Source organism: Homo sapiens, chromosome 7 (assembly GCF_000001405.40).
Source record: "Homo sapiens chromosome 7, GRCh38.p14 Primary Assembly".
NCBI classification, from domain to species: domain Eukaryota; kingdom Metazoa; phylum Chordata; class Mammalia; order Primates; family Hominidae; genus Homo; species Homo sapiens.
In genome coordinates, this window is record NC_000007.14 from 142,250,936 (window position 1) to 142,272,515 (window position 21,580).

Below are 21,580 nucleotides of genomic sequence, written 5' to 3' on the forward strand. Positions count from 1 at the left end.
CCTCACAGTGCTAGTGGAGTCTTATGGATAGTGCTAATGCTTATGGAATCCAGTGGCCTTGCCATGTTTCACCACCTAGGATCAGCTGGCCTTATACAATATCACTACGACCTATTGAAATCTTAGGACCAGCTCAAGTTGGGAGACATCTTTAGAGGCTAAGGTGCTCCTCTGAAAAATGGTCTCCAAACCATTTTCCTCTCCAAACTAAAATTTCAGTTAATAAAATATGTGCAAATGAAGCTGTCACAGTTGCACTTAATAATTCGCACTCCCAATTTAGCTTCTCAATACTGCAAGCTAGGCGTTACTGATTTAGGGGTTTTAGAGCCCTGGATAGATGAAGTTTTCCTACTAGAACTTCTGCTTCCTGAGGGGGTTCTCTTCTTCCCTAGCTGGGCTGAAAGACTCCAGTAGTCCACTTGTAGCAGCCACAGGCTGAACTCTCTAAAATCTGTTCTTGTTTTTGTTTTTTTAAATACTCAGTCAACTGGCCAAAAAAACACCTCTCCACTTAAAACTATCAATTAAAACTCTCAGGGGGTAACAGACTGCAGGGTGAAGTGAAGAGAGAAGGAAGGAAGAGAGGAAAATACTATAGAGTGAGAAAGTGGAGTTCCTGGGCAACTAGCTTTATATAAAAGGCAAGTATGTACTAGGAAAATCTGTCATTGATTTCCCGTTTATCTGCTGTGCCATAAACCTCAGTTAACTTTTATAGTAACTCCTCATGTCTCCAGTAAACACTCAGAATCCTGCAACATGAATGACCAGAATCCATCGATGGCATTGAGAGTTGCATGGGCAAGGAGAAGCTAAGTGTAACACCTCCCTCTCACCTTTGCCCTCCCCTCCCCTCTCACCTTTGCCCTTCTATATAGATCCCTCTTTATTAGACTTCCTTTTTTCAATCAGCATAGTAATGTGCCAAAATCACACATTGTCTAATTTGGTGCATGTAGTAAAGGGTTTTGTACCCCAAATGGCTGTGGAGTGGCCTTTATTTTATGTCAGTTACCAATTCGTTAGAGAGAACATAATTCCCACTTCATAAACTTCAATTATCTGAGGAATTTTGGGTTTTCCATCCTTATCTAGAAGGCAAGAAGGGTTGTTATGAATAATCACAGTGAAGATATGTACAAGTAAAACTGCTCAAGCACCCACTCTGTTTAGCAGAATTGAGACAGGTATGCATGGGGCAATGTGAGGAGTTAATTTATATTTAATTCTAAAGGTGAACGATGGGGACAAGCTGTGTCATATGGTCCACAACTGCCACAGCTCAGTTATTTTGGATTACATTTTCAATCCAGGGTATATAGTAAAAAATTTTGGCATAGATGCCAACATCAGCTCTCAAAACACATCCATCCGCAAAAGACAGGATTCCTTGAAGCATCCCATTGCAGATTGCCGGGGCAGCAGAAACTTCCTGCCAGGAAAACAATAATAACAACAACAAAAAAGCAGATTATCTTTCTGGCAAGACAGAAGGAAGAAAATGGGAAAATTAATGGATGAAGAGTATTTTACCTTGCAGGGCTGCCTCCTTCCTGGCACAATGCCCACACACAGCATATTTTCCGTGATGTTGTAGGTTTTATAGGCATCGCGACACTGAGGCTTGGAGATTACAGAGATGTTCACAGTTTGCAGTGAATCGGGCTCTTTGTCTAAAGAAAAGATAGAAGTCAAACTTCCTTAAGAGTTTTGTTAGGTATTAAAACTTCTTTTAAAAAACTTTTCTTCTTCTACCATCAGAAATTAAAAGAGATCAAACATTCAGAGAAGTCAGAACTGTGGCAGTTAGGACAACGAGGGTATAGGAGATGATCAGATTAACAATTTCTTATGATGCAAAATCGGTGACCTTATAAAAGTGATCAAATTCTTGGGAGTTACATGTACATGTGAGACACTCCAGGAATGAAATGAAACACTTTGTCTTAAACTTTTCTGGAAATTTGGCTGGGCACAGTGGCTCACGCCTGTAATCCCAGCACTTTGGTAGGCCAGGATGGGTGGATCACCTGAGGTCAGGAGTTCGAGACCAGCTTGGCCAACATGGTGAAACCCTGTCTCTACTAAAAATAGAAAAATTAGCTGGGCGTGGTGATGAGTGCCTGTAATGCCAGCTACTTGGGAGGCAGGAGAATTGCTTGAACTCAAGAAGCGGAGGTTGCTATGAGCCGAGACTGCGCCACTGCACTCCAGCCTGGGTGACAAGAGTGAGACTCCATCTCAAAAAAACCCAAAAACTTTTCTGGAAATTTAAACATTCAAAGGGTTTCTTTTGAGATGTAATTTTTAGAGTTTGAATGAATTTACAGATATCTGGCCTACTTTCTCAATTGTCAGGTCAAAACAAAACCGAGTATCTGCACAAAAAAGTCACTGAAAAAGCAGTTTTCTTAAACATATAAAGCTAGTAAATGGTAAAGCTAAGATTTAAAACTGGATTTCCTGGTTCCTAATTAAAGTTCTTTTCTTTGTATCAATAGTCCACAAATACTGTGAATTGTGCACACTTGTAACAAAATTTGTCCAATCTGAAACAAAATGAGAAAAACAACAAAGTAGTATGAACACATGTGGCACGTGTTCTTTCCACGGACATTTCTTTGGGAAGAAGTACTGTATTTTAAGATTTTGGTTTTTTTAATAATGGAAGAGTATGTTTAATGTTTTTATTTGAAAATAATGTATTAGTTCTTGAAAAGAAAATGTATAAGATCCTTCACTTTATTTTCCAAGCAATAATTTCATGGCTAAACATTTCTTTTGGGAATACTTCTGTAGGAAATGCTTACTTAACTACTTGATGACCCAGATCAAAATAAGATGCATTTTTTTTGAAGTCATATCTCGTTTTGAACCTTATGCCATAACCCAGATGAATCAAACATACTGCTCACAGAAGGACATTTGGCTCTTTCCAAAAATCAAATTGACTCTCAGAGGACAAATAATTTCTACTTATTGATATATTCAAGAAAATGTGCTCTAAATCTGAAGGTATTTACTAAGGATTAGTTTTAAAAGGCTTGAATCATGGCAACAATGATAGAATAAGTGTACATCTGCCTGTTGGTTTCTATAAAAAGAAAGTAGTGATGGATAGATGAATGTAATCTGACAGGTTTGTTTCAAATAAATCTCCTTTTCATACTATGGTATCTAGTGTATGATGTATATTATATATACTCAAACTTACTCATGAGTAAAGTTGCATTAATAATTCTTCACAAGGGATTATATATCATTGTTCTATTTTGCTAATAGGTAATCAACTCCCTTTCACCACTACTCTCAACTCTCGTAATTAGCAACTATAGACAGTTAATTAGGGTTTGCATAGAAATTTGGAGATGGAGTAATGGGCAGATGGAGATGCAACTTAGAAAACAGAAAGTTGCCTTAAGTTGTGGGTGTTTTATGGAATATGAAACATGAGGCCTAGAACAAAGTTTAGATAGACTATCTAGTTCAGGAGTTTCAAATTATGTATAGAAAACTTCCATTGATAAAAATAATGGTAGCCCTTTGTCAGTTTTCTGAAGAAATGAGTGAATGCTTAGAATGTTACCAGTTTAAAATGTTTATTTCAGAAGTTCTTTTTAAAACTTTAACTCTGTATCTTTATTAAAATCTTACATAAGGAAGTTCTATCGCATTTAGTAAAATATTATATATTTATCTTACATTTAATACACTGATATTTATTTCTTGACTTTTCAAAGCTTCAAGTTGCTTTATTGCCTGAAATGGTTTGAAAATATACAACAGAGTAATCTGCTTTATTTTAGAGTTAAGGAAATTGAGGCTCCAAGGTAAAATGACCTGCTGTCACATAGAAAATTAGGATTGGAATACAAATGTTTTCTTTCCACTAAAACCACTTCTATCATATATGAAAGAGAAAATGATAGAAAGATACAGCGGGTGAATAAAAAAAACCCAAAAACCTTGAAGCACTCCTTCAGTGAGGTACAGAGAAAAGGAAAGGGGGGAAAGAGGTTAGAAGAAAGCTTCACTAGGCCGAATTGAAGAAGCCAAGAGTCGCGAAGGTGTAGAAGCATGTCTAATTCTGAGAGAAGAACATTGTCTTGAACTCACAGATATCACACACATTGTAGCTCCAGGTAGAGACAGAGCACATGGTATTTTCAGAGATAGTTTGGTAGGGCAGGTTGGCTAATTTCACATAGTCATTGAGTTCAGCCTCTGTTTTCAGCTTGATTAGCATGATGTCATGATCAATAGAAGTGACTGAGAAGTGTGGATGATGAATCATCTTCTCATAGCCAATCACTTGCAGATGCTTTTCATTAGAGTCTGCTGGGATTGTAACCCCCAATATCACCCGAAGCTTTCTGGAACAATATAGACGTTTATGAGAGGACTTAACAGAGATGGCTTCTCCATCATTATGAGCCTCTATTATCCCTCCCCACAGACCTTTTTCTGTACCCTCGTATGTCTCCCAAAGGCTTTTCTAATCCCATTTAATTGGGAGATGGTCTCAGACAGGGGTGAGAGTCTGTGCCCAACCTGAGAACCCAAAGAATGGAGTGCCTTTGAAGGCTTATCACTCACGGTAAATTGCAGTGTGCAGCTGTGATCACCCAAAGCGGGTGGATCAGGACTCCAGCGCAGGGCAAGTAGTCAGATTTCAAATAGACCAAGTAAGGGGGAGTGGAGCTGACTGTGTAATCTGGATTAAAGGCCAAAGCAACTGGAAAGAGAAGCATAGACAAGAAATTCCAAGATTTCTCAGTCATCACCAGAAAAACTTCAGGAAAGTCATTTAATAGGCTCCAAGTTCCCCTATCCTTTTCTCTAGCAACTTTATCTGTAAAATGACTTACTTTGTTCTAAAACACGAAGAAAAGACAAATGGTAGAAACATATCTCTTTTGAAAAATAAAAAGTGTTTGGCTTTTTCACTGTCAATAAAATCTTTCAAATTAAATGTTCAACTTTCTTAAATACCTTCCACAATTTAGTGGGTTGTATGCTAAATCAACGAATTTTTTTCACTATTTTTACCAATTTTAGAATGCTTCAATAAGTCTTAAGGCATTCTGATTTAGAATGCTTTAATAAGTCTTATCTCTTTTTCCCAACAACAACTCAAGACAGAATTATATAAGTATCATGACAAGAACAGACCAAATGCTAAGAGTCTGAGGAGGGGAAAAATAATGTATTGTTTTACCAAATATACATTGAGCACCTAGTATATGTCAAGCTCTGTTTTAGGGGCTTGGGCTATATAGTGAACAAAGTAGATATTCCTGCTCTCATATATTACAATTAATGAAGATATTCAGTAATAATAAACACAACACACAAATAAACTATGTAGGATGTTAAATGGTGATTAGTGCTATGGAAAAACACACAAGTAAACTATATATGATGTTAAATGGTGATTAGTGCTATGGAAATAAAAGTAGGACAGGGAAAGAGAGAAAGGTATTACCAATTGTGTGTTGGGGGAGAAGGAGGGGTTTCAGGCAGTATTTGTTTGTTGTTTGTTTGAGACAGGATCTCACTCTGTTGCTCAGATTGGAGTGCAGTGGCAAGATCAGGCTCACTGCAGCCTCAACCTCCTGGGCTCAAGCAAACCCTCCTGAGTAGCTTGGACTACAGGTGTGTGCCACCATATCTGGTTAATTTTTAAATTTTTTAATTTTTTTAATAGAGATGGAGTCTTGATATGTTGCCCAGGCTGGTCTCAAACTCTTGGGCTCAAGTGATCCTCCCACCTCAGCTTCCCAAAGTGCTGGGATTATAGGCATGAGCCATTACTCCAGTCTCAGGTAATATTAAACCAGTCATCAGAGTATAACTTCATGGGCAATGTTGAACAATAACATGAAAACGGGGGAAGTTGCTAGTCAAATATCTGGGTGAAGGGACTCCAGGCAGAGGCAACAGCTGCAGCATGGGTCCTGAGGCTTGTGTCAGTTACATCACAGAGGCCATGGCTGCTGACCCAGAGTGAATGAAGGGGAGCAGAGGAGGAAAGGGGCTCAAAGAAGAATGGAGGGTTTTGTAGACCATCGTAAGAACTCGGCCTTGTTTCCTGAGTACAAATGGAACCACTCAAGGATTTGTGCAAAGGAGTGATGACAGTCTCCTCATGGAGAACCTGTAGAGTGTAGAAGTATAGAGGTAGAGGGGTCTGTTAGGAGAATAATTTGCTAATCCAGGCAAGAGGTGGTGGCTTAGATCATTGTGAGCAGTGGAGATGGTGAGATGTGATTGAATTTAGGATACATTTAGAAGACAAAGCCAACATTTTTCTAAGAGATCAAACGTGGGGTATGAGAGAAAGAGAGGATTTATGAATAAGCCTGGGTTTATGCCTGAGTAACTGGAACTGTGCCAGGAGATATCTGATTCTTCAATGTTCTGCTGTGCCCTCTGTGGTGCAGAACATCAATCCTGTTGCAGACAGGTCCAGAGTCAGGTCTTAGGAGTGGGTCTGGTATTTGAGTGACAATGTCCACGCCTCCCACAAAAGCACACAAGCAAACCTCCTGCGGCAGGCAGGCAGGCACTATCACAGGAGGAAACTTGATGGGAACGGGGCAGTGGAGAGGGACAGAGGACCATCCTACACTTGAATTCTGGAATGATGCCTCTCGCTGTTACCCGTCTTTCATGCTTTTCCCAGGATTTCTCTTTGGTGGGTAAAGAGACAAATATGCACACACTCACCAGTCAGATTCAAGAGAGCCCAGAGGAGGATAAACTTCATGATGATGTTGAAAGCCCAGTTTAGCTCCAGTCTCTGGAAAACTGGGAAGAGAGAGAGAAAACAACTAAATAAAACAAAGCAAGATTGTAGAATTGGAAAAATATATCATCTGAATTATTTTAGTAGCAGGATTCAGTTTTAGAAATGGTGTCCATTATTCAGAGGAGAGTGTAGCGTCATCTGTCAGAGAGACAAGAATAGAGTCAAGTGATTGGTCCCCAATACAGTTGAAAATGGTTCTGGAACTCAGAGTTCTGCCCTCTGTCTTCAGGGAAGAAAGTACCAAAGCTAAGTTGAAGTTCATGATATCTCTACAGACGCCTCCTGTCTGGTCTCCTTTTTGCCAGCCTTGGTAGGCAGGTTCCCCTCTAAACTATGTGTGGGCTGCTGCCCCTCCTGTCTGTGTGATGCTATCTCCCACTGTGTGATGCTATTTTTCTCCAGTGGACATAATGTAGCCCTCTGGAGCTGACATTGCTTCCTCTGCCTGACATTAAACTCCTCTTTGAAATACATTAACCTTTTCCTTCATGTCACTGTTTATCCATTTATTCTGTGAACCAACCTGCTAATTATTTATCTTATGTATCTAACTTGTGCTAGGATCTGTGCTTGCTGTTGGGGTTGCCTCAACTGAAGGATTTCTTTCCTACCTTCCAAGAGCTTACAGACTAGTGGGAATGATACTTAAGTTGATGGTTATGAAACAAAGTATTCAGGGCTAAAAATTGAGATATGCCACAGACTAGATAAAAATATTTGCAAAACACATATCTGCTAAATAATTCATGTATAAGGAAATAGTAAAATTCGACATTAAGAAAACAAACAACACAACCTAAAAGTGGGCCAAAGATCCTTACCAAATGTTTTAGTCTGCTTGGACTGCCATAAAAAAAACCACAGTCTAGGTGTCTTACACGACAGACACTTACTTTCTTATAGTTCTGAAGGTCAGAAGTCCATGATCAAGGTGTTGTCAAATTCAGTTTCTGGTGAGGCCTCTCTCCCTGGCTTGTGGATGATCACCTTCTTACTGCTTCCTCACATGGCCTTTCCTCTGTGCACACAGAGATAAAGAGGGAAAGAAAGCTCTCTGGTGACTCTTTTTATAAGGACATAAATCCTATTGGATCAGGGCTCCACCCTTCTAACCTAATTTAGCCTTAATTGCTTCCTTTTAGGCCCTATCTTCAATACAGTTGCATTGAGGTTTAGGCCTTCAAACAGATATATTTTGCAGTGATGGGGAAGATAACACCAGAGAATATATACAGATGGTAAATGGCATATGAAAAAATTCTTAACATAATATGTCATTAGGGAATTACAACAACAATGGGATACTACTACATACCCTGTGGAAGGGCTAAAATTCAAACACTGACAACAACAGATGCTAGTGAGGATATGAAGTATCAAGAACTGATGCTGGTGAGAATTTATTGCTGATGAGAGTGCAAAATGGTACAGTCACTTTAGAAAATAGCTTGGAAGTTTCTTATTAAGCTCAACATAACCTCACTATATGATACAGCAATTACACTTCTTGATACACCAAAAGATTTGAAAACTTGTGTTCACAAAAATCCTACACATAAATGTTTATAGCAGCTTTGTTCAAAGTTGCCAAATCTTGGAAGCAACCAACATGTCCTTCAATAGATAAATGGATAAACAAAGTGTGATTCATCCATATAATGAAATGTTATTCAGAGATTTTATGATTTAAAAAACTTAACTCTCAAGCCATGAAAAGACATGGAGTAAACCTATATGCATATTGCTAAGTGAAAAGAGCTAGTCTGAAAAGATTATATACCATATAATTCCAATTATATGACATTCTGGGAAAGGCAAAGCTATGGAGACATATGTATGTGCAAGAACTTTTTTCCTATAATGACTTCTTTTCCTCCGGATAGATTCCAAGGAGTGGGATTGCTGGATCAAATGGTAGATCTACTTTCAGTTCTCTAAGGAATCTCCACACTGTTTTCTATAGTGGTTGTACTAGTTTACAATCCCACCAACAGTGTAAAAGTGTTCCCTTTTCACCACATCCATTCCAACATCTATTTTTTTTTTTTGATTATGGCCATTCTTGCAGGAGTAAGGTGGTATCACATTGTGGTTTTGATTTTTTTTTCATATGTTTTTTGGCCAGTTGTAAGTATTTTTTTAAGAATTATCTATTCATGTCCTTAGCCCACTTTTTGATGGGATTGTTTTTTTTTTTCTTGCTGATTTGTTTGAGTACCTTGTAGATTCTGAATGTTAGCCCTTTGGCAGCTATACAGATTGCAAAGATTTTCTCAGGGTTGTCTGTTTACTCTGCAGATTATTTCTTTTGTTGTGCAGAAGATTTCTCATTTAATTAAGTACCATCTATTTATCTTTTTGTTGCATTTGCTTTTGGGTTCTTGGTCATAAAGTCTTCGTCTAAGCCAATGTCTAGAAGGGTTTTTCCTATGTTATCTTCTAGAAATTACATGGATTCAGGTCTCAGATTTAAGTCTTTGGTCTATCTTGAGTTGATTTTTGTGTAGAGTGAGAGATGAAACCAGTTTCATTCTTCTACATGTGGTTTACCAATTATCGCAGCACCATTGTTGAATTGGCTGTCCTTTCCCCACTTTATGTTTTTGTTTACTTTGTCGAAGATCAGTTGATTATAAGTATTTGGCTTTATTTCTGGATTCTCTATTCTGTTCCATTGGGCTATGTGCCTATTTTTATACCAGGACCGTTCTGTTTTGGTGACTATGGCCTTGTAGTATAGTTTGAAGTCAGGTAATGTGATACCTCCAGATTTGTTCTTTTTGCTTAGTCTTCCTTTGGCTATGTGGACTCTTTTTTGGTTCCACATGAATTTTAGGATTATTTTTCTAGTTCTGTGAAGAATGATGGTGGTATTTTGGTGGGAATTGAATTGAATTTGTAGATTGCTTTTAGCAGTATGATCATTTTCACAATATTTATTCTACCCATCCATGGGCACGGAATGTGTTTTCATTTGTTTGTGTCTTCTATGATTTCTCAGCAGTGTTTTGTAGTTTTCTCTGTAGAGGTATTTCACCTCCTTGATTAACTATATTCCTTTTTTTGTGTGGTTATTGTAAAAGGGATTGAGCTCTTGATTTGATTCTCAGCTTGGTTGCTGTTGGTGCATAGCAGTGCTACTTATTTGTGTACATTAGTTTTGTGTCCTGAAACTTTGCTGAATTCATATTCCAGTTCTAGGAGCTTTTTGGATGAGTCTTTAGGGTTTTATAGGTATACGATCATGTCATCAGCAAGCAATGAGAGTTTGACCTTCTCATTACTAATTTGGGTGCCATTTATTTCTTTCTCTTGTCTGATTGCTCTGGCTAGGACTTTCAGTACTATGTTGAATAGAAGTGATCAAAGTGGGCATCCTTGTCTTGTTCCAGTTCTTAGAAGGAATGCTTTCAAGTTTTCCCCATTCAGTATAATGTTGGATGTGGGTTTGTTATAGATGGCTTTTATTACCTTAGGATATGTCCCTTCTATGCCACATTTTGCCGATTTTGCTAAGGGTGTTAATCATAAAGAGATGTTGGATTTTTTCAAATGCTTTTTCTGCATCTACTGAGATAATCATATGATTTTTGTTTTAATTCTTTTTATATAGTATATCACATTTGTTGACTTGCAGATGTTAAACAATCCCTGCATCCTTAGTATGAAACCCACTTGATCATGGTGGATTACCTTTTTGATATGCTGTTGGATTCTGTTAGCTAGTATTTTGTTGAAGATTTTTGCATCCATATTCATCAGGGATATTGGCCTGTAGTTTTCTTTTTTGTTATGTTCTTTCCTGGTTTTGATATTAGGGTGATACTGCCTTCATAGAATGATTTAGGGAGGATTCCCTTTTTGGAATAGTGTCAATATCTTTTGGAATAATGTCAGCAGGATTGGTACCAATTCTTCTTTGAATGTCTGATAGAATTCAGCTGTGAATCTGTCTGATCCTGGACTTTTTTTTATTGGCAACTTTTTAATTACCATTTCAATCTTGCTGCTTGTTATAGGTCTGTACAGAGTTTCTATTTCTTCCTGGTTTAATCTGGGAGGGTTTTATATTTCCAGGAATTTATCCATCTCCTCTAGATTTTCTAGCTTATGCATGTGAAGGTGTTCATAGTAGCCTTGAATGATCTTTTGTATTTCTGTGGTATTGGTTGTAATGTCTCCCATTTCATTTCTGGTTGAGCTTATCTGATTCTTCCCTTTTCTTTTCTTGGTTAAGCTCATTAATGGTCTATCAATTCTATTTATCTTTTCAAAGAACTAGGTTTTTGTTTCATGTATGTTTTGTATTTTCTTTTGTTGTTATTTCCATTTCATTTAGTTTTGCTCTAATCTTGATTATTTCTTTTCTTCTTCTAGGTTTGGGTTTTGTTGGTTCTTGTTTCTCTAGTTCCTTGAGGTGTAACCTTAGATTGTCTATTTGTGCAATTTCACACTTTTTGATGTAGACATTTAATTCTGTGAGCTTTCCTCTTAGCACCTCTTTTGCTGTATCCCAGAGGTTTTGATAGGTTTTGTCACTATTATTGTTCAGTTCAAAGAATTTTTAAATTTTCTTCTTGGTTTCATTATTCCTGCAGTAGTTCTTGGAGAAAAAGTTGACGATGTGGGTATCCACATGCTGCTCTGTCCCTCCAAGTGGGAGCTGCAACCTAGTCCTGCTCCTATCCACTAATTTTTTCTTGAACTCCTCCTAAATGTGTATTTTTATTAAGCCATTAAATTTGTGATGTTTTTACACAGCATTAGAAAACTAATACAAATGCATACTGGATGCTGGCATCATATTCTATAATGATGATTCCATGGCAAGGGAGATAAGAAGCTTGCTCTCATACATCATAATGCTTAATGAGGGGGAGACAGATGTAACAAGAACAATCATCGTGAATGTCAAAGGAAAAGGGAGGTAGAGAAGCATGTCGCAGGACCCTAATATAAGGTCAGAAGAAGACCTTCTTTGGGAAGTGAAGTTTGAAACTTGAAGGATGAGTAGAAGTTAGCCAAATGAAGAGATGGGGAAGAAATCTCCAGGTGGATGAACCAGAGCTCCAAGGAGAACAAGGAATGTAAAAAAGAGAATGAAGAGAGAGACAGGCAAGGAGACACAGATAGGAGAATCATATGAAACAGACTTTGCAGGATTTGTCGAGTAAGAACTGCCTGCAAAGGAAATAGAGGAGGCAATCAGAGAGTAGGTCAAAGAAACATGTCCTCGGGTTCTGTATTTTAGATGAGTGAGGCTTTATTTTCCTTAAATGATAACAGGAAGAAGGTGATAGATAGGGAAAATTGGAGATAATCAATACAGCAAGTCCATGAGGAAGTCAGACAAGATGGGGTCCATTTCACAGGTAGAGATAGAGGCTGTAAATAATAAGGTCTTACTTCCACTATAGCAGGAAGAATGAAAAAGAAAAAAGGTGGGGGAAAGCAAGTATGTTTGCAGTTTTAGTGGTGGCAATTTCAGAGAGGTATCTTCTGCTGGTTTCAGTTTTTCTCTACTCCCACACTAGAGGTCATCTGCTAAAAGTGAGCATTAAAAGTTTGAGGAGAGAGGAGAGGGTTTGAAATTGCTACTGCGGAGAATTATACAAACAATTTATTGGAGAAGATAGGATTGCCAATAAGTGCTAAAGATGTAATTCAAGGGTTACAAGAAGTAATTAGTTGAGCTCTATAATCCTAAGTGAATTAACACGGGAACAGAAAACCAAATATCGCATGTTCTCACTTATAAGTGGGAGCTAAATATTGAGCACACATGGACATAAACATGAGAACAATAGACACTGCAGATTACTAGAAGTTGGAGGGAGGGAGAGGGGCATGGTTTGAAAAACTACCTACCAGGTACTATGCTCACTACGTGGTTGATGGGATCCATACCCCAAACCTCAGCATAACACAATATACCCACGTAACATACCTACGCGTGTCCCCCCCGCATCTAAAATAAAATTTGAAATTAAAAAAAAACTCTGGCACAAATACAGACATGATTCATTAAGGGTGCTTTGGGCAGTGAGTCAGAGACAGGAAACTGGGGAAAATGTGAGAGAAGACTGGCAAACTGAGGACGTGTCATTTGGATGGGGCCAGAAATTAAAGAAAAAAATAATCATATAGTGAATGAAATGGCTTTAGTATCTAGATTTTAGAACAAAGAAAATTTCTGTGAATGGACCAGAACAAGCTATTGGTCTTAGATGCACCTAAGCTCTCTGGTTTTGGTTTTTTGTTGTTGTTGTTTTAGAGACAGGGTCTTGCTCTGTCACTCAGGCTGGAATTCAGTGGCACAGTAATAGCTCATTGCAGCCGTGACCTCCTCCCCTGTCAGCCTCCCATGTAGTTAGGAGCTTTTTTTTTTATTACTATTTTATGTAGAGGCAAAGGTTTCTCTGTGTTACCAAGGCTGGTCTTAAATTCCTGGTGTCAAACAATCCTCCCACCTCAGCCTCCAAAAGTGCTGGGATTATAGACCTGAGTCACCGCATGTGGGTTTTGTTTTGTTTTGTTTTGTTTTGTTTTAGGAGAAGAGAAAACACATTCAGGCATCCAGGTTCAGGGTCCAAAAACCAACTCACCTCTGCAGACTTTATAGATGCCCTAGATTCACTGCGCCCCTCAAGGGAAGAAACCTCAAACCTCTTTACGCCTCCCACAGTGGGTTTCTCCTATGGTGTGGTTCTCTGTTCCCATCTTCACTGGCCTCCTCTGCCCATCTTTTCTTTTTTAACATAAGATCCCTATGTCATATTGACCCTTTTCTCTCTGTTGCTCTTTGGTCTCTCATATGTCACTCAAACCCCTAACTTTGGGGGGCCACTCAGAATCCCCTTAACTCTGTCTCTGTTTTTAGATGATTTGGACAGTGGCTATGGGATGCTGCACATCTCCCCAACATATGCCAGTGTGAGAGAAGGGCTGAGCACCCATCACAGCTCTTCTCCATAGGAGAGAGCCCTCCCAAACCCCGCAGCTCCCACCCACCAATGTAGGACTCCTGTTTGTTAGTCACTCCTCAGGCAGCATCTGGATTTCAGATCAATGTCTCCAACTGCCTGCTGGAAATAACCACCTCTACATCCTTAAAGGATCTCAATATAGCAGGCCACCTGTCTCCTCATGCAGGACCATGCTCTTGATACCTTGCACACAAATGCACTTGTTATCCTCATATTATCTTTGAGAATCACCATCTTACCTGTTGTCCAAGTCAAAAACTTGGGAGAGTTATCCCTGACATCTCCCTTGCCTTTCTTCTTACAGTAAGTATGTCCAAATCTTACAGATGTTACTTCCTTAGTATCTCTCAAATCAGAAATTGGATGGTGTTTTGTTTACTGTAAAAGCTTCAATGACACCCCCTCCAATGCCTACAAGGTAAAAATCTAAGTTCCTTTATAGAGCAGGTCAGGCCCTTCATCTCTCAACATTTGCCTGCCTATAATAGAATAATATTTTATGGCATTATTTTTCCTTTTCTACAATTTATTTTCTACCTTCAAGGTTTGCTTATTTACATATATTTTCCAGCCTATACCACACTTTCATATGCTTTTTTGCCTTTTAATAAACTATGTGCTCAGTTTTACAATATCCTCCCCTAATTTGTCCACCTCTCTGGTGTTACTTCTCCTGGCACTACCACTCAGAATGTTTTATTTTATGTTTTCGTGGAGCTTACTGCTCATCTCTGTTATAGCAGTTATCAAAAGGTATTGTAATTAGCTAACTGATGGCCAAGGTCATGTCATAGTCACTCAGGCATCCTTAGCAAAGGCCGTGCCTACTAAACAGCTAGTGGTTAATTTTTGAATGAATAAATGAATGAACAAACACAAGGTGAAGAGGTTGCTAAATTTCTCATTATCCTCAAAGTTTACATGACAAAGACAGCAGGAGTCATGGCACAGGTTCTCAGCTACTCATTTTTTTTTTTTAATCAGATGTTTCCTCTTTGGATTTTGTTCCAAAATAACAAAGATGAAGAGAGTTGTAGATCCAGTGTAGAAATTATGAAGAGGTGGTACTGAGGGGATATGGGAACAGAGGCGCCTCAGTGGGTATCCATAATTTTCAAGATCCATCTTGCATAGCTATGAACACCTGTGAAGAATCCTTCACTTCCTAGGGTGACACTTCCTTCTGCCCAGGACAAGATTCCATGCAACCTCCCATTGCAGATGGCTGGGGCAGCCGAAACATCCTTATAGAGAGAAGGAACAGAAGGTCAATGTGTCCTTGTCCTTATGGAACAAGAGTAAATGCCAGCTGGGCGCGGTGGCTCATGCCTGTAATCCCAGCACTTTGGGAGGCAGAGGTGGGTGGATCACAAGGTCAGGAGATCAAGACCATGCTGGCCAAATGGTGAAACCCTGTCTCTACTAAAATACAAAAATTAGCCGGGCGTGATGGTGCGTGCCTATAATCCCAGCTACTCAGCAGGCTGAGAATCACTTGAACCTGGGAGACGGAGGTTGTGGTGAGCCAAGATCATGCCACTGCACTCCAGGCTGGGTGACAGAGTGAGACTACATCTCCAAAAAAAAAAAAAATAGTAAATTCCAAAAAGCGGCACATAACAGTAGCAAAACCATCTAAGAGAATGGGCTTATTTTTCTTGAGAGGTGGCAGACTTCTCTTTACATCCACATAAGTCTTACTTCTAAGGTTCAAGCTTGACCCAACCCAAGTGCAAGACAAAGGACAAATAGTTCTACCCCAAATCTCTCCCACTCTGAAAGATGAGAAGGGCAATGGTTAGAAACCCAGAGGTGAGTAGGGAGAGGAGAGGGACTCCAGCTCTCTGCTTCTCTCTCTTAGGAGGCCTTTTGGATGAGTGCTCTTTGATTCTGCATTATCATCACTCCTCCCATGGGACTCTTGCTATCTTCCAGTATAGAGAAGGGAGAAATACCTTGTTTTTAGATAGGATCCTTAGAGGGTGTCCTACACAAATGATGTTTCCTGCCTGTTCTTCTTTGAGTCTATCCTGACAGTCACGGAATGGAAGAGAATATTGGTTGATCCATGTCAGGATGTCAGGATCACTGACTGTGGGAAAGAGAAAACAAACTCCAGAGTGACTCTTCTTATCACAAGGGCTCTTCTAACCAGATCCTGTTTTGTAAATAAATTCAGTCCTGAGAATATTCAATGCAGGTAGCAGCAGACACTCCATTCTCCGTAGGATTCCTTGTTCAGTAATCTCCATGTTAGAGAAGTAGGTTTATAAGTCCCCTTTGTCAGATATCAAATCCATAGTTCTTTCTGTGCTATGCATCATTTATAAAATTTTGAAAAAACTGTGAGTTATTAGTGACCACAAGGAGAAAGAGACAGTAACGAAACCATTGTCTCAAAGATTTTCCCCCTACACACACACCTTTATTGGGCATCTACTTGATCCTTTTCACGTTTAGTTATAAAGGGAGAAACTATTTTTAGTGCATATAAAACTGCTTTTTGAGTTACACAGATTATTTATAAGTGTTTATAGTATGTGTATTGATATAAATATACATATATATTTCCCCCAAGAAGTTGTCATGTTGTTCATCTCCATAATAGCAATTGCTATTATACTGTCAAATTCAGGATACAGGGACTTTAACGAAGGTATCATGTAATTTAAATTTCTGGTAGAGAATAGCAAAGAGAAAGGAAACAAAAACGCTGACCAGGCCGGGCGCGGTGGCTCACGCCTGTAATCCCAGCACTTTGGGAGGCCGAGGCGGGCGGATCACGAGGTCAGGAGATCGAGACCATCCCGGCTAAAACGGTGAAACCCCGTCTCTACTAAAAATACAAAAAATTAGCCGGGCGTAGTGGCGGGCGCCTATAGTCCCAGCTACTTGGGAGGCTGAGGCAGGAGAATGGCGTGAACCCGGGAGGCGGAGCTTGCAGTGAGCCGAGATCCCGCCACTGCACTCCAGCCTGGGCGACAGAGCGAGACTCCGTCTCAAAAAAAAAAAAAAAAAAAAAAAAAAAAAAAAAAAAAAACCGCTGACCAGAGATTGCTCAAGCTAAGTCCAGTGTTGTTTAAGGAGCAGGATTTTTTCTGATAGAGTGTATCCAATCAAATGCCCTAAAGCAGATTAGGCCAGAAGTTGTCAGGTCAGAGAAGAAAGAGAAATTATGTTCAGTTTTATGTTTTTATGGGAACTAAATTAAAATATGTGTAAAAAACTAGGTGAAAGTAACTTAAGTTACTTGAAATAATGAATTTCTAATAAATATTGGAAGCCCTGCACCAGAAAGCTTATAGAGGTAGAGTTTGTCACTGTGATTTTGACATGCAGAGCCTATATACCTCTGAATAGTTTTGTTTTGTTTTCAAATTGTACGTAATAAATTACTTCTGTAAGTTGTAATTCAATTACTTTGAATAAGACTTACAAAATCAAGGACAAAAATCATACAAGCTGTAACTGTTCAGAAAACATGTTCACTTAGATTCCCAAGTACTTGCTTCTAAGTGGAAAAATGAATCTGCAAAATACTGAGAATATAATAGTTTCTGCTTTTTATTTCTGTTTTTTACCAAAGACTGACTTCTAAAATTCCACTTTTATTTGCTTTTACAGAGCACGTGCATTGTTCTGTAGCCACCAGAGAGAGATTTAAACCTGATTAATAGATCCAGGACAACTTGCTTGAGTGAACATAACTTTTGCAGTATAATCAATGTCAGCCTTCACTTCTTAAAACCAGCTGATCAGGATCAGAGGTCCTCTGAAAAACACGCCTCAGAGCACCAATCAATCAACAGCAATCCCCCTGAAGTAGCCAGGCCTCAACAGATGATGGAACCCATTCATACCTCTGAAAGTCCTCCAATCCCTCAACTCCAAGCTTCCCACAAACCCCTTATGCTAATCAGCACTCCATTCTGCTTAGTGGGATGGTGCCTGGTCAGCATTGCTCTGACTTGCTGTAATAAGCAATAGATTTACATTTGTCATTTCATTTCAGATATCAAGTGGTGGTATCCTCATCCTCAACAATACCTAAGGAGAGAATAATGGAGTAACAGCCAACAAGGACCAACAAACTTATTAGAAAGTAGTTTTCTTCACAGGTGTTCTTTATTAGACAGACTCCTGCTGAGACCGGATCTTTCTGCTCATCCCAATTTCAGCTCACAGGGGAGATGGGTGTGTGCTTACAACATGGGCTGCCACTGTTTTTCTTGTGAGGCATGTCAGACCAGGGAGATAACAACTGATTATGTCATAATAATCAATTTCCCTACGAACCACCAAAGTCTCCACCCCTAAATGGGAACTCTGGGAAGAAGCAGTGGGTATGAGTAGCACTCTGTGCAGGGAACCAGCTCTGGTGACAGGACAGGTACTCCCTCAACCATTCTCTTCTCTCCCAGGGTTCTCTGCACATAACTGGGTTCTCTGCGGAAGGTGTAGGAAGCATCTTCTGCTGCTTCACCGCATCACATATATTTTATGTTCATTTCCCCCACTGTTCTTCCATTGTGTGATGGGCTTTCAGCAACTATCAATGGGTGTCACCCTCCCGCAGGCTGCCTTCATACTGTCTGTGCACGAGGACTCCTATTTCTCCCACCTGTATTTCAATCCAGTTCTCTGGACTCTTGTCTTCAATATTCTAGAGATATGAAAATTACTGTCTGCTCCATTTGTTGGTGTCAGAGTGGCTGCCCTTTATCAGTCTCTTTGAATTTTATCTTTGACCTCCAGTGATGGTGGTTTGGGTCCCTGGCAGGAATCCCTCTATGGTGGACAACATTGTCTCATAGCAGCGATTTCCATTAGGGACATCCCTCTACATTTTCTCCCAGCTCCAACCTCCTCAGCATAAAGAACACAGCATCCAACACATATGGTTTTTATATTCATTCCAGGTCCAGGTTGGAATAAAGCAGGATTCATTAAATGGAATGGGTTCCAAGGCTATGGCTATAGTCCCCACATGGGGGTTGAGTGAAGCAGGTGTTGATAGTTTGATCATCATTAGGTCATTGTTCAAGGATTTTGCATCAAAGTCAGGGTAGGTCACAATCGATGAATAGTTTCATATCTGTTGTTTCTTGTTTGTGATGCTAGGTTGAGAAACTCCCAGTCGAATTTCAACACTTTGGAAGAAAGAGGGCAGAGAGATGAGAAGAAAGAGAGTCATAAGATAATGGATTACAAGAAATCCTACGGGCCACCCTCTTTAATTATTTTAACTTTATTTCTTAACCTGAGAACTGACATGGCCTTCTTTTGTCTATAAAACAATAGCAGTAATTTACAGAATTGTTGTATTAGAGACATAAATTTGTAAAATGTCTGACATCGTGTCTGGCAACTAAAACACAAGTCAGTGGAGCCTTGTTATTAAGATTTTTATCATCTGAATTAGCAGCTAATAGAGAGGCAGCACACATCCAGTTCATGTGTTAAGTATGGATGTAAGAAAGAACATCTGCCTTTTCAATTTTTATTCTGGAAGGATGTGAACTGTGTATTTCCTTTGTATTTCCCATATACCACAGAGCAGAGGTTAGTCTGCGTTAAACTAAACTGCCTTGAACAGCCAGATGGCTAAGATTTCTGAATTTGAAAGAACCGTTCTATACTCATGAAACTGAGTAGGTCTTGATCACACAGCACATTCTCACACACAACAGAAACACTGAGATTTGCAAGGAATTGCTTTATTTTGTATCGTGCTCCCTTGCCCTCTACTGTCACTGCATGATATGGCTTCTGCCTAAGTCTTTGACCTCATCCTATGAGCGATCCCCCTGCTCATTACCCTTAATTCCTGCCGATTTCTCAGCTTAATATCTTTGTTACTTCAGGGAGTATATGAATATTGTTCCCTTGGCCTGGAATATCCCCCAGGATTTATTCATTTGGCTGGCTCCTTCTCTTCCTATGGATCTCACCTCTTCAGAGATGATGGACATGACCACATTAACTAAAGCAGATTTCTTATTTCATGCCCATATATTAGAGCTTGCCATTAAAAAAAATACTTTGTTTTTGGCCATTTATTTGTGGTGGCTACTCCCTCTACCAAAATGTAAGCTCCATGAGGGAACACTTATTTTCATCTTGTTCCTTCACTGTTTCATCAGTGATTAAGTAGCCCTTGCTAGATAATAAATGTTTAACAAGTATTGTTGATGAATGAATATTATTTACTACCCATGAGAGGGAATCCTCTGACATCTTCCTACTGATCTCCTCCTAAACTGCCCAAATTTGTGTTCTGTTTCCCAATGGGAACAAGAGTCTCTCTTTTTCCGTGTCTTCTGATTTTACTAAAAATTTTCTGGGATGCTTCACCAGATCTACATTTGTTTGAACAGATTCCTCCCAGCTCGCAAGAGAAAGGGATACTTACGGTAAGGGGCAGTGGGCAGCTGTCAATACCCAGTCAAGGTGAATGAGAGACCCCACGCAGGGTTCTGGGAAGGACTGAAGATAGACCATGTAAGGAATAGTAAAATTATATGTCAGCTCCTGATTATCTTTAGAGTCTTTAGCCAGAGCAGCTCCTGGAGAATCAAGGGGCCATAGGTGGAAAGGGAAAAAGAAGTTAAAAGGCCAGAACTGGCTAGGGTAGTTTTCCCTAACCTAAGGTTTTCAAATGTAATGTAAAGGTCTTCAATTTACCTTTCATATTTTAATCAAGGAAAATTATGCATGTCCTCTAAGTTATACACAATAAGAAAATTGACACATGGTTTTGCTGAGATGAAATTACATTAAAATTCTGTGAAACTTACTTACATGCTGATCAGAAGCTCCTATTGGCAGTGCTGTGTGTTACAAAGATGAAAAAAATAATGACTACTTGAAATTTTTTTTTAATTCACTTTTGCCATAAATGGGGGTAAAAAAGTATGGCGTGATTTAAATTTTTTTAAATTCACTTTTGCCATAAATTGGGGTAAAAAATTACTGCCTGACTTTGGTGATGAAAGAAATAGAAAAGCTTAGGGCTTCCAGAGCCCCTGACCCAGCTCACCCCCCTTTTCCAGGCCCATGTTCTCTAATGTGGTTCCTTTTGTTTTCTTCAACGGTTGTTTTATTTAAATGTCCTCCGCTTCCTAGCTGTTTAGTTGTGCCCAGCTACTCCTCTTTCCAATCTTTCATAGACTATCCTGGGTGTCACAATAGGCAGAAACAAAGCCCCAAACTCTCACCAGCTGCACTCAAGAGAGCGACGATGAGAAAACCCTTCGTGGCAGACAGATCTCGCCAGGAACAGACAAGTTGATCAAGCTGTAAACTGTCCCAATCTTTAGTCCAAGTGTCCTTGCCAAGAACAGCTGTGGAGATTATGGGCAGAAGACAGATGAGAGGAGAGCAGTCTTCACATGAGTCCTTATCAAGACCCAAATATATACGGCATTGCTGGGAGCCGTCTCTGATGTGGGTGAAAGAGAGTGGCACAGACCAAGCCGAGGTCCTGGTGCCTCCTTTCCTATCCTACAAATCTTGCCTGGAGTTATTATGTACCTGCTGATTTTCCTTCTCCTCTCTATGACACAACCTTTCTTTGTTGTCTCCTTCTCCCTCTGTGACTTAAACCGCTCTCCCTGCCCATCTTGCTGCCATCTCACCTCTTCCAGAGACTTCCAGAGGATTGGGGTATGAAATGCACTTAATAAATCATTGCTTTTTTCATTCCTTGTAATTTTAGTGATGAGGAAGCTATGGTTCTCTTGGAAGTTAGTGGCAAAGTCAGGACTCAGAACTCAGTCTC

At 39.5% G+C, this 21,580-nt stretch overlaps 1 protein-coding gene and 1 pseudogene across 2 annotated transcripts; both read right to left on the reverse strand.

Moving 5' to 3' along the window:
• Positions 1,208-7,123, reverse strand: PRSS58 (serine protease 58). Its single transcript, NM_001001317.5, has 6 exons — positions 7,056-7,123; positions 6,733-6,813; positions 4,600-4,738; positions 4,120-4,376; positions 1,537-1,676; positions 1,208-1,435 (listed from the first exon to the last, which is right to left on the reverse strand). Exons 2-6 carry the CDS (start codon positions 6,770-6,772, stop codon positions 1,286-1,288), a joined length of 726 nt encoding a protein of 241 aa, NP_001001317.1. The 5' UTR covers positions 6,773-6,813; positions 7,056-7,123; the 3' UTR covers positions 1,208-1,285.
• Positions 17,349-21,314, reverse strand: PRSS59P (serine protease 59, pseudogene; annotated as a pseudogene). The gene is made up of 3 exons (NR_036483.2): positions 21,018-21,314; positions 20,213-20,366; positions 17,349-18,950 (listed from the first exon to the last, which is right to left on the reverse strand). The product of NR_036483.2 is annotated as a serine protease 59, pseudogene (transcript).